This window comes from Homo sapiens, chromosome 9, assembly GCF_000001405.40.
Source record: "Homo sapiens chromosome 9, GRCh38.p14 Primary Assembly".
NCBI lineage: Eukaryota > Metazoa > Chordata > Mammalia > Primates > Hominidae > Homo > Homo sapiens.
Window position 1 is genome coordinate 84,372,435 of NC_000009.12, and position 12,934 is coordinate 84,385,368.

At 42.1% G+C, this 12,934-nt stretch overlaps 1 annotated feature.

Annotated features, from left to right (window-relative positions):
- Window positions 3,997-4,497: an enhancer, noted in NCBI's record as "H3K27ac hESC enhancer chr9:86991346-86991846 (GRCh37/hg19 assembly coordinates)". NCBI's record gives its function as "activates a minimal SCP1, AML or CMV promoter by ChIP-STARR-seq in primed H9 embryonic stem cells {active_cell/tissue: H9 hESC(primed)}" and the evidence as "EXISTENCE:reporter gene assay evidence [ECO:0000049][PMID:30033119]".

The window sequence follows — 12,934 nt, forward strand, 5'->3', positions numbered from 1 at the left end:
ACTGAGAGTAAACTAACTGAACCCATGTCTTCTTGGCCTATGTGCTTCTAGGGCCACCTTCTGCTTTGGATTAGCTTAAGCAAAACTAATGAGCTCTAAATACAAGCCCTGTCTGGCCTGGTTTTAGGCGATGTCAGATCTTTAGTTTCCCCTAGTAGCCCTAATTTATCTTTATTTTTGCTCATGACACTCTCAGCTTTCAACTTAGCATTGCTGGTGGGTTATAGTTAGGGTTTGTCGTTTTCATAAAACTCTTCGTTCTATTTAGTTACAGTACATCTGTTTCTTATGAAAGATTAATTTTATGCATCTTTAAATCTTTGAAAACATAGCCTTGCCTCATGCTGGTTCTCGTCCACCCCTGTAGGCCTGATAAATGTTGGAGAAAACTTTGACAGCATAATTAAGGCATAATTTTATTCTATTTTTTTAACCTCTGTCACTCAAAAAAAAAGTGCAAAATAGAATTTATATGGCTGGAAGAACAAGGTGGCAGTGATTTATTTATGCCAGACCAGAGGAGGATATTGATATTTATTAAAATAAAATACTAAGATGGTAAATGGTCTACTAATCAGAACCTGGTTAACATCATGTGCCTGAGCAGGTGGGGTAGAGACAGGCAGAGCCCTGGAGATTGCTCTTATTTCAAATACAAGGGATACAGGGTCAGAGGGAAAGGATTTCGTTAGAAAAAGAGAATGCTCGCATTTACTCAGAGCGGACTGTTTGCTGAGCTCTCTGGCTGGACCTAGGAGCTAATGCCTTGTCTATGGAATCGTGGCTGAATTCCTACCCACAGCCTTCTTGGTCCTCTCTGGCCTTCTACTGCCTTTACAGATTGATCGTGGGGTGCAGTGGACCCTTTAGCACTTTGGAATTCTCTTAACCCACCCTGTACTGTCTCCAAATGGTTGCCTTAACTCAAGTCTACAGTGTTGTAAAATCTTTTGTCCTCAAAGGCACAAGACGTTCTGAATTGGCCCCTTCAGTGTATTTCCAGGGTACTTTGTAATGACAGGAATGGTTCATCATTGAGTGGTAAGGTCCTGTAGCATATTCCTTATATGCATGTTTCATTCATTCCTCTCATTAATGATATGAGACAAGTCCCTTCCCTTCCCTTCCCTTCCCTTCCCTTCCCTTCCCTTCCCTTCTCTTCTCTTCCCTTCCCTTCCTTTCCCTTCCTTCCTGTCTCCTCTCTCCTCTCTCTCTCTCTTTCTCTCTATTTTTTTGTTGAGACGGAGTTTCACCATGTTGCCCAGGCTAGTCTCTAACTTGGGCTCACGTGGTCCACCTGCCTAGGTCTTCCAAAGCGATGGGATTACAGGCGTGAGCCACGGCACTTGGCCTATTCCATTTTCTAGATAACAAAAGTGAAGCCCAGGCTGGGTGTGGTGGCTCACGCCTGTAATCCCAGCACTTTGGGAGGCTGAGGCAGGTGGATCACTTGAGGTCAGGAGTTTGAGACCAGCCTGGCCAACTTGGTGAAACCCTGTCTGTACTAAAAATACAAAAATTAGCCAGGTGTGGTGGTGGGTGTCTGTAATCCTAGCTACTTGGGAGGCTGAGGCAAGAGAATTGCTTGAACCCAGGAGGCAGAGGTTGCAGTAAGCCGAGATTGTACTACTGCACTCCAGTCTGGGCAACAGAGTGAGACTCCAGCTCAAAAGAAAAAAAAAAGAAAAAAAAAAAAAAAAAGGAAGCCTGGAAACATTAGGTCACGTGCCCAAGTTTACACAGAATGACTATGAGCCAAGTTCCTAGCCCCTGTGTGAATGGTTACATTATGCCTTGTACTATTGCAATTTATTAATATTTACACGTCTGTTCCTTCTATTGGGTTAAAAACTCTTTGAAAAATTGGACAATGTCACGTTTGTCTTTGTGTTCTCCTTAGTTCCCCACACAGCTCCTTACACATCATAAGGGGGCAATAACACTGTGATGAGTGAATGAATTGCACTCAGATGCCTAACACTAGCACTTTGAATTTTCAAGCTTGTTCACATCTCCCATCTCCCAACAAAGAAGGATATTTTAATAAGAGTTGTGGGAGAAATTAACAGAAAGCAAACATTGCCAAGAAAAATCCTTTTTGAGATTGGTTCTGACAGTCACACAGCAAGGGAAGAAGAAAATGGTTCTGAAGGGGAGGAACCTCAGGAAGGGGTTCTCTAACATCTGATTCAAAGCAGAGTTCTTTGTTTGTGAAGTCTTGTTCTCATGCGGTTGAGATCTAAATCTCTATTTATAGATTAAAATGCTGCTAATGCTGGCAAGTTGCAGCAAATTGGTTGCCTGGAGATGATAATACTTTGTTAATCCAGTATCAAGCTGTGCTGGGCATTATTGAAACCCAGTCTAGGAAGGACTTTCTGATCATCGAGAATTAGAAGAAGGCTGGTGCAATTCCAAGTGGCATTTGCATCATGCATTTAGGAACAGTTGAAAGTAACCAACTTAAGGTGCTTGGGGTACCATTCCTTAAGGTGACCTCCTAAACTTGTCAGAAAGTTATCTCTGCTTTCCTTTATAGATTTGATGACCATATATGTACCCTTAGAAAATACATTTTTTGTTTTGCTTATTTTTGAACTTTATAAAAAATAGTATCATACTATGTGTATTCTGAAACTTGTTAATTCACTTTTTTCCTCAACATTATTTCCTGAGATTCAGTTCATCCATGTTGAAGCTTGTAGCTATGGTTCACTTATTTTTATTTTTTTATTTTTTTCTGAGATGGAGCTTTGCACTTCAGGCTGGAGTGCAGTGGTGCGATCTCGGCTCACTGCAACCTCCGTCTCCTGGGTTCAAGCAATTCTTCTGCCTCAGCCTCCAGAATAGCTGGGATTACAGTCACCATGCCCAGCTAATTTTTGTATTTTTAGTACAGATAGGGTTTCACCATGTTGGCCAGGCTGGTTTCGAATTCCTGACCTCAGGCGATCCTCCCGCCTCGGCCTCCCAAAGTGCTGGGATTACAGGTGTGAGCCACTGTGCCCTGCCGGTTTATTTATTTTTATTGCTGTATAGTATTCCATTGTATCAATGCTACCATTTACTTATCCAAACTTCCACTGATGAACATTTGAATTGTTCCAGTTCTTTTTATCATGAACAATGCTAAGAACATTCTTGAATATGTTTTTTGTGCACATGTGCAATAATTCTTGGGGTATACAATTAAGCCTGATATTGACATGAGTGTTCAATTTCTTAAGATAATGGACAACTATTTTGCACTGATGTTGAACCACTGTTGCTGGCAATTATGGGGGGAGCACTATATTTGGGACATGGGGAAGGGATGAGGCCAGGGAGGGGCTTGGTTGATGGGAGGGCAGGGAAAGAATTCTCAGCATAGAAAAGTGGTAGTTCCAGGCATTCTTGGGTGGGCCTGAGCTTAGCTGGTGAAAAACAGAAAGGCTGGAGCACAGAAGTGGGGGAACATTGGCAATGAGGTGGGAGAGGAAATCAGAGCCAAGTCCTGAAAGCCAGATTAAAGAATTTGATTTTATTCAATGTGAGGATTTTGAGATGGGGAGTGGATGTGATTTTATTTACATTTCTAAATAACATTTTGGCTGCTCTGTAGAGAATGGATTAGGGTTGAAAGCAAGAAGAACATTAGATGCTAATCATAACAGTCTGAGAGCCCGGGGCTGAGCAGTGCAGAACTGGTTGTGTCGTGGTAGGGGAGATAAGACCTGCTATCAGAGCAGATGTGGGCTGTGAAGGAGAGACAAGAATCAAGGCTGACTCTGAGTCACCAAACTTGTCCCATCTACCTCTTAAGTTTTTCTCAAATGTATGTGTCCCTTCTTTTTCCATTCCACTACCTCAGGTCTTACTATCTCTCATTTGACTACTGCAAGAAGCTGTCAACGAACTCTTCCCAGGGCCTCAAGCTGGCTCTCTTATCCTCCCTCCATCGATCTCCATATAGCTGATGAAATTACTTTTCTAATCAATGATTTTTCTAGATAAAGCAAGTCACATCATTTTCTTCATTAAAAATCTTAGGTGAGTCCCTAAATGCCCTTAGACCAAAACCTTATTCCTTAGGGATAGGAAAAGGAATTACAATGTTGAGTACTTTACATACCTTGAATCCTCATTTAATCCCTCCTAGAATTCCATGAAGAAGCGATTACCCTTGTTTTGTGGGTAATACAACTGAGGCCAGAGTGAAGGAATTTTCCCAACATCATAGGGTCACAGAGATAATAAATGACAGGGGTCTGTTCACATAAGCCAGTGGTTCCCAAACATGGGTGCAAGAGGGTCCTTGTTGGGGGCGAGAAGGCCCCCCAGGGCAATGATATCTCAATATCCTGGGGAGGCACCTGAGTTAATTTTCTCTCTCCCTCCCTCCCTTCTTTCTTTTTTTTTTAATTTCTTGACTTTACTTACTTATTTTTTGAGTCAGAGTCTCACTCTGTCACCCAGGCTGGAGTACAGTAGCGCCATCTTAACTCACTGCAACCTCCAACTCTTGGGCTCAAGCAGTCCTCCCACCTCAGCCTCCAGAGTAGCTGGAACTACAGGAGTGTGACACCATGCCCGGCTAATTTTTGTATTGTTTGGAGAGATGAAGTTTCACTATGCTGCCCAGGCTGGTTTCAAACTCCTGAGCTCAAGTCATACACCCACCTTGGCCTCCCAAAATGTTGAGATTATAAGCATGACCCACCGTACCCAGCCTGACTTTATTTTTTAAGGCAGTTTTAGGTTCTCAGAAAACTTGAGTGGAAAGTAGAGATTACCCATATACTTTCTGCCCCAACACATGCTCAGCCTCCCTCATTATCAACATCCCCCACCAGGGTGGTACACTTGTTACAATCTATGGACTGTAATATCTCCACAGTGTTGCCTTGTCCAGAATGTCATATAATTGGAATCAAATAACATGTAGGCTTTTCAGATTGGTTTCTTTCACTTAGTAATGTGCAATTAAGAAGCCAAAATGCACATTAAGGAGGTTAATGTCTTTTCATGGCTTGATAGCTCATTTCTTCTTAGTGCTAAATAATATTTCATTGTCTGAATGTACCACATTTTATCCATCACCTACTGAAAGACATCTTGGTTGCTTCTAAGTTTGGGCAATTATTGATAGAGCTACTATAAACATCTGTGTGCAGGTTTTGGTGTAGATATACATTTTCAGCTCTTCTGGATAAATACGAAGGAGCTCAATTGCTGGGCTGAAGTGATCCTCCTGCCTCAGCCTCCCAAAGAACTGGGATTATAGGAATGAACCACTGTACCTGGCTGAACACGAGATTTGGAAGGGAAAAAACTTCCAAACTGTATCACTGGTATACAGAAAAGTGATTAACTTCTTGTATATTAACCTTGTATCCTATAACTTTGCTATGATTGCTTATTAGTTCTAGGATTTTTTTTGGTTGATCCTTTCAGATTTTCTACATAGACAATCATCTATGAACAAAGAATGATGGATTTCTTCCTTACCAAATCTGCATACCTTTTATTTCCTTTTCTTGACTTATTGCGTTAGGTAGGACTTACAATACAATGCTGAAAAGCAGTGGTGAGAGGGGAAATCCTTGCCTTGTTTTTAATTTTAGTGGGAAAGCTTCAAGTTTGTCACCACTAAGTGGGTTTTTTATAGATATTCTTCATCAAGTTGAGGAAGTTCCCTTCTATTATTAGTTTACTAATCGTTTTTATTATGAATAGATATTGGATTTTATCAAATGATTTTCTGCATCTATTGATATGATCATATGATTTTACTCTTTTATCTTGTTGATGTGATTAATTACATTAATTTATTTTTGCATGTTGAACCCGCTTTGCATACCTGGGATAAATCCCGTGTCGTTGTGGTATATTTTGTTGAAGATTTTTGCATCTATATTCATGACATATATTGTTCTGTAGTTTTCTTTGTCATGTCTTTGGTTTTGATATTAGGGTAAATGTGGCTTCACAGAATGAGGTAGAAAGCATTCCCTCTGCTTCTAATTCTGAAAGACATTATAGAGAATCAGTAAACTTTCTTCCTTAAATGTTTGGTAGAATTCGCCAGTGAACCATTAGGGCCTGGTACTTTCTGTTTTGGAAGGTTATTAATTATTGAGTAAATTTCTTTGATAGTTATAGGCCTATTCAGATAGTCTATTTCTTCTTGTGCGAGTGTTGGCAGATTGTGTCTTTCAAGAAATTGGTTCATTTCATCTAGGTTACCAAATATGTGGGTGCTATGGTTTGAATGTATTACCCAAATTTTATGTATGGAAACTTAATCTACATTGTAATAAGATTAAGAGGTGGGGCTTTTTAAAGGTAATTAGGTAATGAGTAAATTAATGCCATTATTGTGAAAGTAGGTTAGTTATCTTGGGAATGGGGCTCCTGAAAAAAAGATGAGTATGGCCCAATTTTTTCTCTCTGTCTTTCGTGCTCATTTGCCCTTCTGCATATGGCCCTTGTAGTCTTTTAATGAGTCTGTGTCTCTGGACTTTGAACTTCATGTGTGTTTCTCAGTGCCCTCTAGTACCCCACCCCTTTAAGTGGGACAGGGTGGCTAGGCTGGGTATTTCCCTTCCCCTAGGTAGATTAGGCTCTGGTAAAACCCCAGCAGGTTAGGCACGGTAAAATAGTTTAGCAAGATATTCTTGTTAAGAAGAGAATGCTCTGATGTATTTCAAAATGTTTTCTTTTTTCTTAGCTTTGGTGGAAGCATGAGGGAATTTTTCTTCTATATTCACTAAGACAGCCTGGTAGAGCTCCAGGAGGTGAAACTCACAAAAGTTCCCCACTTCCCCAGACTGGGTCTCCCTGGAGTTTTTATCTCTCAGACTTGTCCATATTGATCTTCCAGCAATTCGTCAGTTTCAGTTTAGGTATCCTGAGCCAGGACCTGGAGATTTCTTTTCTGCTCTAGTAAGCTGTGATCCTCTGTATTCACCTGTCTCTTTAATTTTAGGGGTAGCCATTTGCCTTGTGACCTCATTTCTCTTAAGGGTCTAAGAAGAGTTGTTGATTTTTCAGTTTGTTCAGCTTTTTACCAGCTGGGGTGGAGTGGCAACTTACGAGCATCTTTCTCTTCTCTTTTCTCCTTTCTCTCATTCTTTCTTTTCTTTCCCTCTCTCTATTTTTCATTCTCTCTCTTTTTCTCCATCTCTCTTTCTTTTCTTTTTCTTTCTTTTTTTGTCTCTTTTTTTTTTCTCTCTCTTTTCCTCCTTCTCTCTCTTTCCTTCCTTCTTCTTTTTTCTTTCCTGTATTTTTTGACATGTACTTCAGGTGATTCTGAGGACTTGTTCATGTGGAAACCTGACAGGAACTATGGATCAGGAGCTTCCCTCTGACCATTCCTGAATTCCTGAGCCCATTCCAACTCTTGCTGCCTTTGTCACCAAAAGAACATTTGGAAGCCAGTACTGAGGGCTTGGGAGGGCTGCTTGTTGTAGCTTCCAGATTCTTCCAAACAGATTGCTAAATTTTTAGGAATCTCATGAATTGATTGTTAAGCTGCCATTTGCCAAATCAGAGTCATATTACAACCACAGGTTGCCTATGGAGAGGAGTTTGGCAAAAATAAATGAAAGCCTTCTGTGGGAATCAGTTGACTACATAGCAATTGCAATAAAGAGTATGTATATTTTAATGCCTGGGCACAGTGGCTCATGCCTGTAATCCCAGCACTTTGGGATGCCAAGGCTGGTGGATCACCTGAGGTCAGGAGTTTGAGACCAGCCTGGGCAACATGGTGAAAGCCTGTCTCTACTAAAAATACAAAAATTAGCCCGGTGTGGTGGCAGGTGCCTGTAATCCCAGCTACTCAGGAGACTGAGGCAGGAGAATCACTTGAACCCTTGAACCCAGAAGACAGAGATTGCAGTGAGCTGGGATCGCGCCATTGCCCTCCAGCCTGGGTGACCGGAGCAAGACTCTGTCTCAAAAACAAACAAACAAACAAACAAATAAACAAACAAAAAAGAGTATGCATATTTTAAGAAGAAAATTAAAAAATAAAGAGTATGTATATTTTATTATTTTATGTAAATTGTGTGCTATATATCTTTCATATTAGTGAGTTTATAATAATCTTAGGTATATACATATGTTTATGTGTGCATACACATAGGGACTTATTTTGGGAGAATCAATTGTTAAACATTTACCAGCACTAGTTTTTTTTCTTTTTTTTTTTTTTGAGACAGAGTTTCTCTCTTGTCACCCAGGCTGGAGTGCAGTGGCGCGATCTTGGCTCACTGCAACCTCTGCCTCCCAAGTTCAGGCGATTCTCCTGCCTCAGCCTCCCGAGTAGCTGGGACTGCAGGCATGCACCAACATGCCCAGCTAATTTTGTACTTTTAGTAGAGATGGGGTTTCGCCACCAACATGCCCAGCTAATTTTGTACTTTTAGTAGAGATGGGGTTTCGCCATGTTGGCCAGGCTGGTCTCGAACTCCTGACCTAGGTGATCTGCCTGCCTCAGCCTTCCAAAGTGCTGGGATTACAGGCGTGAACCACCATGCCCGGCCTACCAGCACTAGTTTTATAGGAAAAACAATATGGTGGCAAATGCCAGCATCAAGATGGATGACACTTTCCTGGATGTGGTTATAAGAAATTCTTCCCAATAAACAATCCTGGAGAGTAAACTCTTTCTTTGATCTTTGTTTATAGAACAGTCTCTTTCTATAAATAAGACCTGAGATTGTGGGTCACATATGTAACTTGTGTCTACTCAGGCCACCTCACACCAGGGCACAGGTGACATTTTGCTCAGTGACATTTTGCTGACCTTGTTCCTACTTGCTGTTTCAGGTCTTCCAGTCCCCCCCTTGACATTTCTGTGACTTCCCAGGGATGTGTCACCAATCCCATCCTCTTGTGAAGGAAATTCTATGACTTTTCCTTGCTTTTAGGGATGCTCAGGCCCTCATGAGCTCCTTTTAGGGCCTATGTGATTTGGTGCATGCCTCCTCCCCTCAGGGCCTTTGCACATTCCACTTCTTCTGGCCAAGGGACCCCAATCCTGCTCCTGGTCAATGCCAACCATGGGACTTTCCAGCTTTAGCAAGGCCATTCCTGACCTCCCCAAATTTCTTTCAGACTAGCCTGTGCTCTGCCACACTGCTTACCGCTGTTGTGCACATACACTTTGGTGTGGTTGTTTAATATCAGCTCATCTTTGAACTCTCAGTGACTTTAGAACAGGGACCAACTTGACTTTGTCATCACTGCTTGCCTAGCACCTAACGCAGTACCTGGCATTGATAAATAAGTGTGTGTTATCTTGACAACAGCCAGGCACAACCTTAGCTGTTGCCAAGAGGCCAGGCTGAGGCTTCCCTGCAGAGGTTCCTTGAGTGTGTGTGTTTTTTTTTTTTTTTGGTGAGACATTCTCACTCCGAGCCTAGGCTGGAGTGCAGTGGCACAATCTTGGCTCACTGCAACCTCTGTATCCTGGGCTCAAGAGATTCTTGTGCCTCAGCTTCCCGAGTAGCTGGGACTACAGGCTCATGCCAACATGCCTGGCTAATTTTTGTATTTTTAGTAGAGACGGGGTTTCACCATGTTGGCTGGGCTGGTCTTGAACTCTTGGCCTCAAGCAATCCACCTGCCTTGGCCTCCCAAAGTTCTGGGATTATAGGCGTGAGCCACCGTGCCCAGCTGAGCATGTGGTTTTAAAGCCCATTTTAACTGGTGCCTGCTCGAGCACCTTGCAGTCTGCTGAAGGACGAGAAAGAACACAATGGTATCCGGAGGCAGGAGGGTGGCTGTCCTGGAAGGAAGCCCACAGGGGGGTTCTAGGGCTATGGAAATGTTCTGTCCCTGGATTTGGGTGATAGTGACATGTAAACATGTGTACGTTATGCGGATGTTATGTCTCAATTACAAAAATAATAGAAGGAGGTAGTAGAGTGTACAGATTGCCTGGGCTCTGGACTCAGGCAGCTCTGAGTCTGAATCCACAGCTAAATGACATGTCCAGGTCCCTTCTCCAGACCTCAGTTTTCTCATTTACAAAATGGGTATTATATCTTTTTTTTTTATACTTTAAGTTTTAGGGTACATGTGCACATTGTGCAGGTTAGTTACATATGTATACATGTGCCATGCTGGTGCGCTGCACCCACTAACTCGTCATCTAGCATTAGGTATATCTCCCAATGCTATCCCTCCCCCCTCCCCTCCAAAATGGGTATTATATCTTTACCCTTATGGTTATGTGTAAGGCTTAGCAAATTTTAGGATTAGAAATTCAGTAACTTGTAAAGGCAATTCTTCTTTGCCTACTTTATTACCGTGGAAGTTGTTAAAAAAACAAAACAAAACAAAAAACAAAAACCCTGACAGCCAGCCAGGGAAGGCCATGAAAAGAGAGTTCTCATGCTTGTATACCTGATGGCAAAAATGATCACAAAAGACTTTGCAAAACCACAGCATTGCACAAAGGCCATCTCAACTTTACACAAAAAATACTTCTGCGAGGACATCTGCCCAGCAACTGCTTGTCCAGCCTGGGACTGGTGCCACCCTTGTTATTGATCTTTATAGCCAAGGATAATTATTTCAAAACGATTATGTAATCCTTCTCACGTTTTTTCTTTAAAAACCTTTGTCTTTTCTTACCTCCCTAAATATGCACACAATTTGCTATGACACGTGTATCTCCATTGCAACGCTCTATTCCAAGTAAACATCTTTTCTTTTAGAGAGTGTTTCTCTACTTGTTATTTAGGTGGATGCTGCTGAAGACAGGGTAAGGAAATGCATTTTAGCAAGAACATTTCAGGTAGATATTGCCAAAATGTTTCTTAGGAAGTACAATTCTTTCTTGGAAGTCTGTGAGAGTATGTACCTAGCCAGCCAGGAGAAAGGAGACTTTTCTACTGGCCACATTCACTAATCACGTGACTGCTGGGACAAGGCACTTAACCTATTTTTAGCTCAGTCTTCCTTATCTGTAAGATGGGAGGGAATAACCTTTGCAGCTGCTACTGATGAGAAGTTCAATGCAAAATGAAAAAAATCTAACTGATGATTCAAAGTTGTGATACTGGGATTGCTATCTGCAGGCCCTTGCTTGACACGGGAGGGAATTGTGGAATCGTGGTGGTGCCTTCCAGCAGGTGTCTGTTGTAACACCCTCCAGGGAAGGCGATGGAATTCGACAATGTGGAGGGACACACTGGACGCTCTCTCTTCTAATTTCATGGGGTTCACTCAGACTGGATCTGAAGAGCTCATCTGAAAGCAAGACTATTTCATACAACTCTGGGGTCATATCTGTCCCTCTGAAGGGCTTAAGCACATTATTAAAGCAGTGAGTGAAGTCTGAGAGCAAATCATGCCTTATTATTTTCATTTGGTGCAGAGTGTTAAGGGACTGTGTTCACTGTAAATTGGTCAAAAACAGTCCAGGAAATAATTTTCGAGCACGTCCTGATTTTGATTAGGTTCCGAGAGGTAGCAGTATTAGGGTGCAGACAAAAGGCAATCAGCTGAAAATTTTGGACTTTAAAAGCATCATTAGGTGATACATTGTGCCAGAAGTAACAAACGCAATAGTGGCTCTTTAAGGAGTGAGAATCTGTCACTCACAGACTAAAGCTCCTCTTGGTACCCACATTCCCAACCCCGACAGCTGCTAATTCTTTATCAGGAGAAAGTAACCCCATTCGATTATTTCCACTGAGGTTGAAGGACTGTAACTTAACCAAATACACAATTATTTTTCCTAGTTTTTAGTTACAGTTAGTTTATAGTTGGTTATAGTTAAGATTTAAAAATAACTTAGGACCGGGCGTGGTGGCTCACGCCTGTAATCCCAGCACTTTAGGAGGCTGAGGCGCACGGATCACTTGAGGCCAAGAGTTCGAGACCAGCCTGGCCATCATGGCGAAACCCCGTCTCTACTGAAAATACAAAAATTATCCGGGCATGGTGGCACATGCCTGTAATCCCAGCTACTCAGGAGGCTGTGGCAGGAGAATCGCTTGAACCCAGCAGGCAGAGAATGCAGTGAGCTGAGATTGCGGCACTGCACTCTAATCTGGGCAATAATACAGTGATACTCTGTCTCAAAACAAAAACAAAACAGCAACAACAAAAAACTTAATTGAAATCTTACTTTAGGAAAAAATCAGGACATTGGAACCCTGGTTTAGGGCAGGATTAAGCTTTGTGGTAGGTTCCAGTAGCCAAAAATGCTACAAATCACATACTTTTAGAGTTGCCAGGAATCCATACATCTGACCTGTACTATGTTTGAAAGCAGGTCCCACATTTACTCCTTTGTTCCTGGATGTCAAAGCCTTGGAAAATCAAGCTATCCATGTGAACTGCACTTTTAGGAGAAACCAGACTTTCTCAACTTTGGCACCAGGGACATTAGATAATCATTGATCCCAGATAGTAGCTGTACTTTTTCACTCATTATATATTTCCCTTTGCTTGTCCTTAGAAGGGACATTATCCTGATTGCAGAAAATCCGATTTCAATTTCCACTTTGTCCTGGAAATGCATGTAGATTACTGTTGGGCTCAGTAGCCACTCAAGAAGATCCCCCATATTAAAGTGATCTGATTTATTTATTTTTATTTTTTAGAGATGGAGTCTTGCTCTGACGTCCAGGCTGGAGGGCAGTGGCATGATCTTGGCTGACTGCAACCTCCACCTCCCAGGTTCAAGCAATTCTCCTGCCTCAGGCCTCAGCCTCTTGAGTAGCTGGGACTACAGGTGGGTGCCACCAGGCCTGGCTAATTTTTTTTTGTATTTTTAGTAGAGACAGGGTTTTGTCATGTTGGCTAGGCTGGTCTCGAACTCCTGACCTCAAGTGATCTGCCCGCCTCGGCCTCCCAAAGCTCTAGGATCACAGGTGTGAGCCACCATGCCCCGCCTAAAGTGATCTGTTTTAGAATGAACACTGTAGAAGAC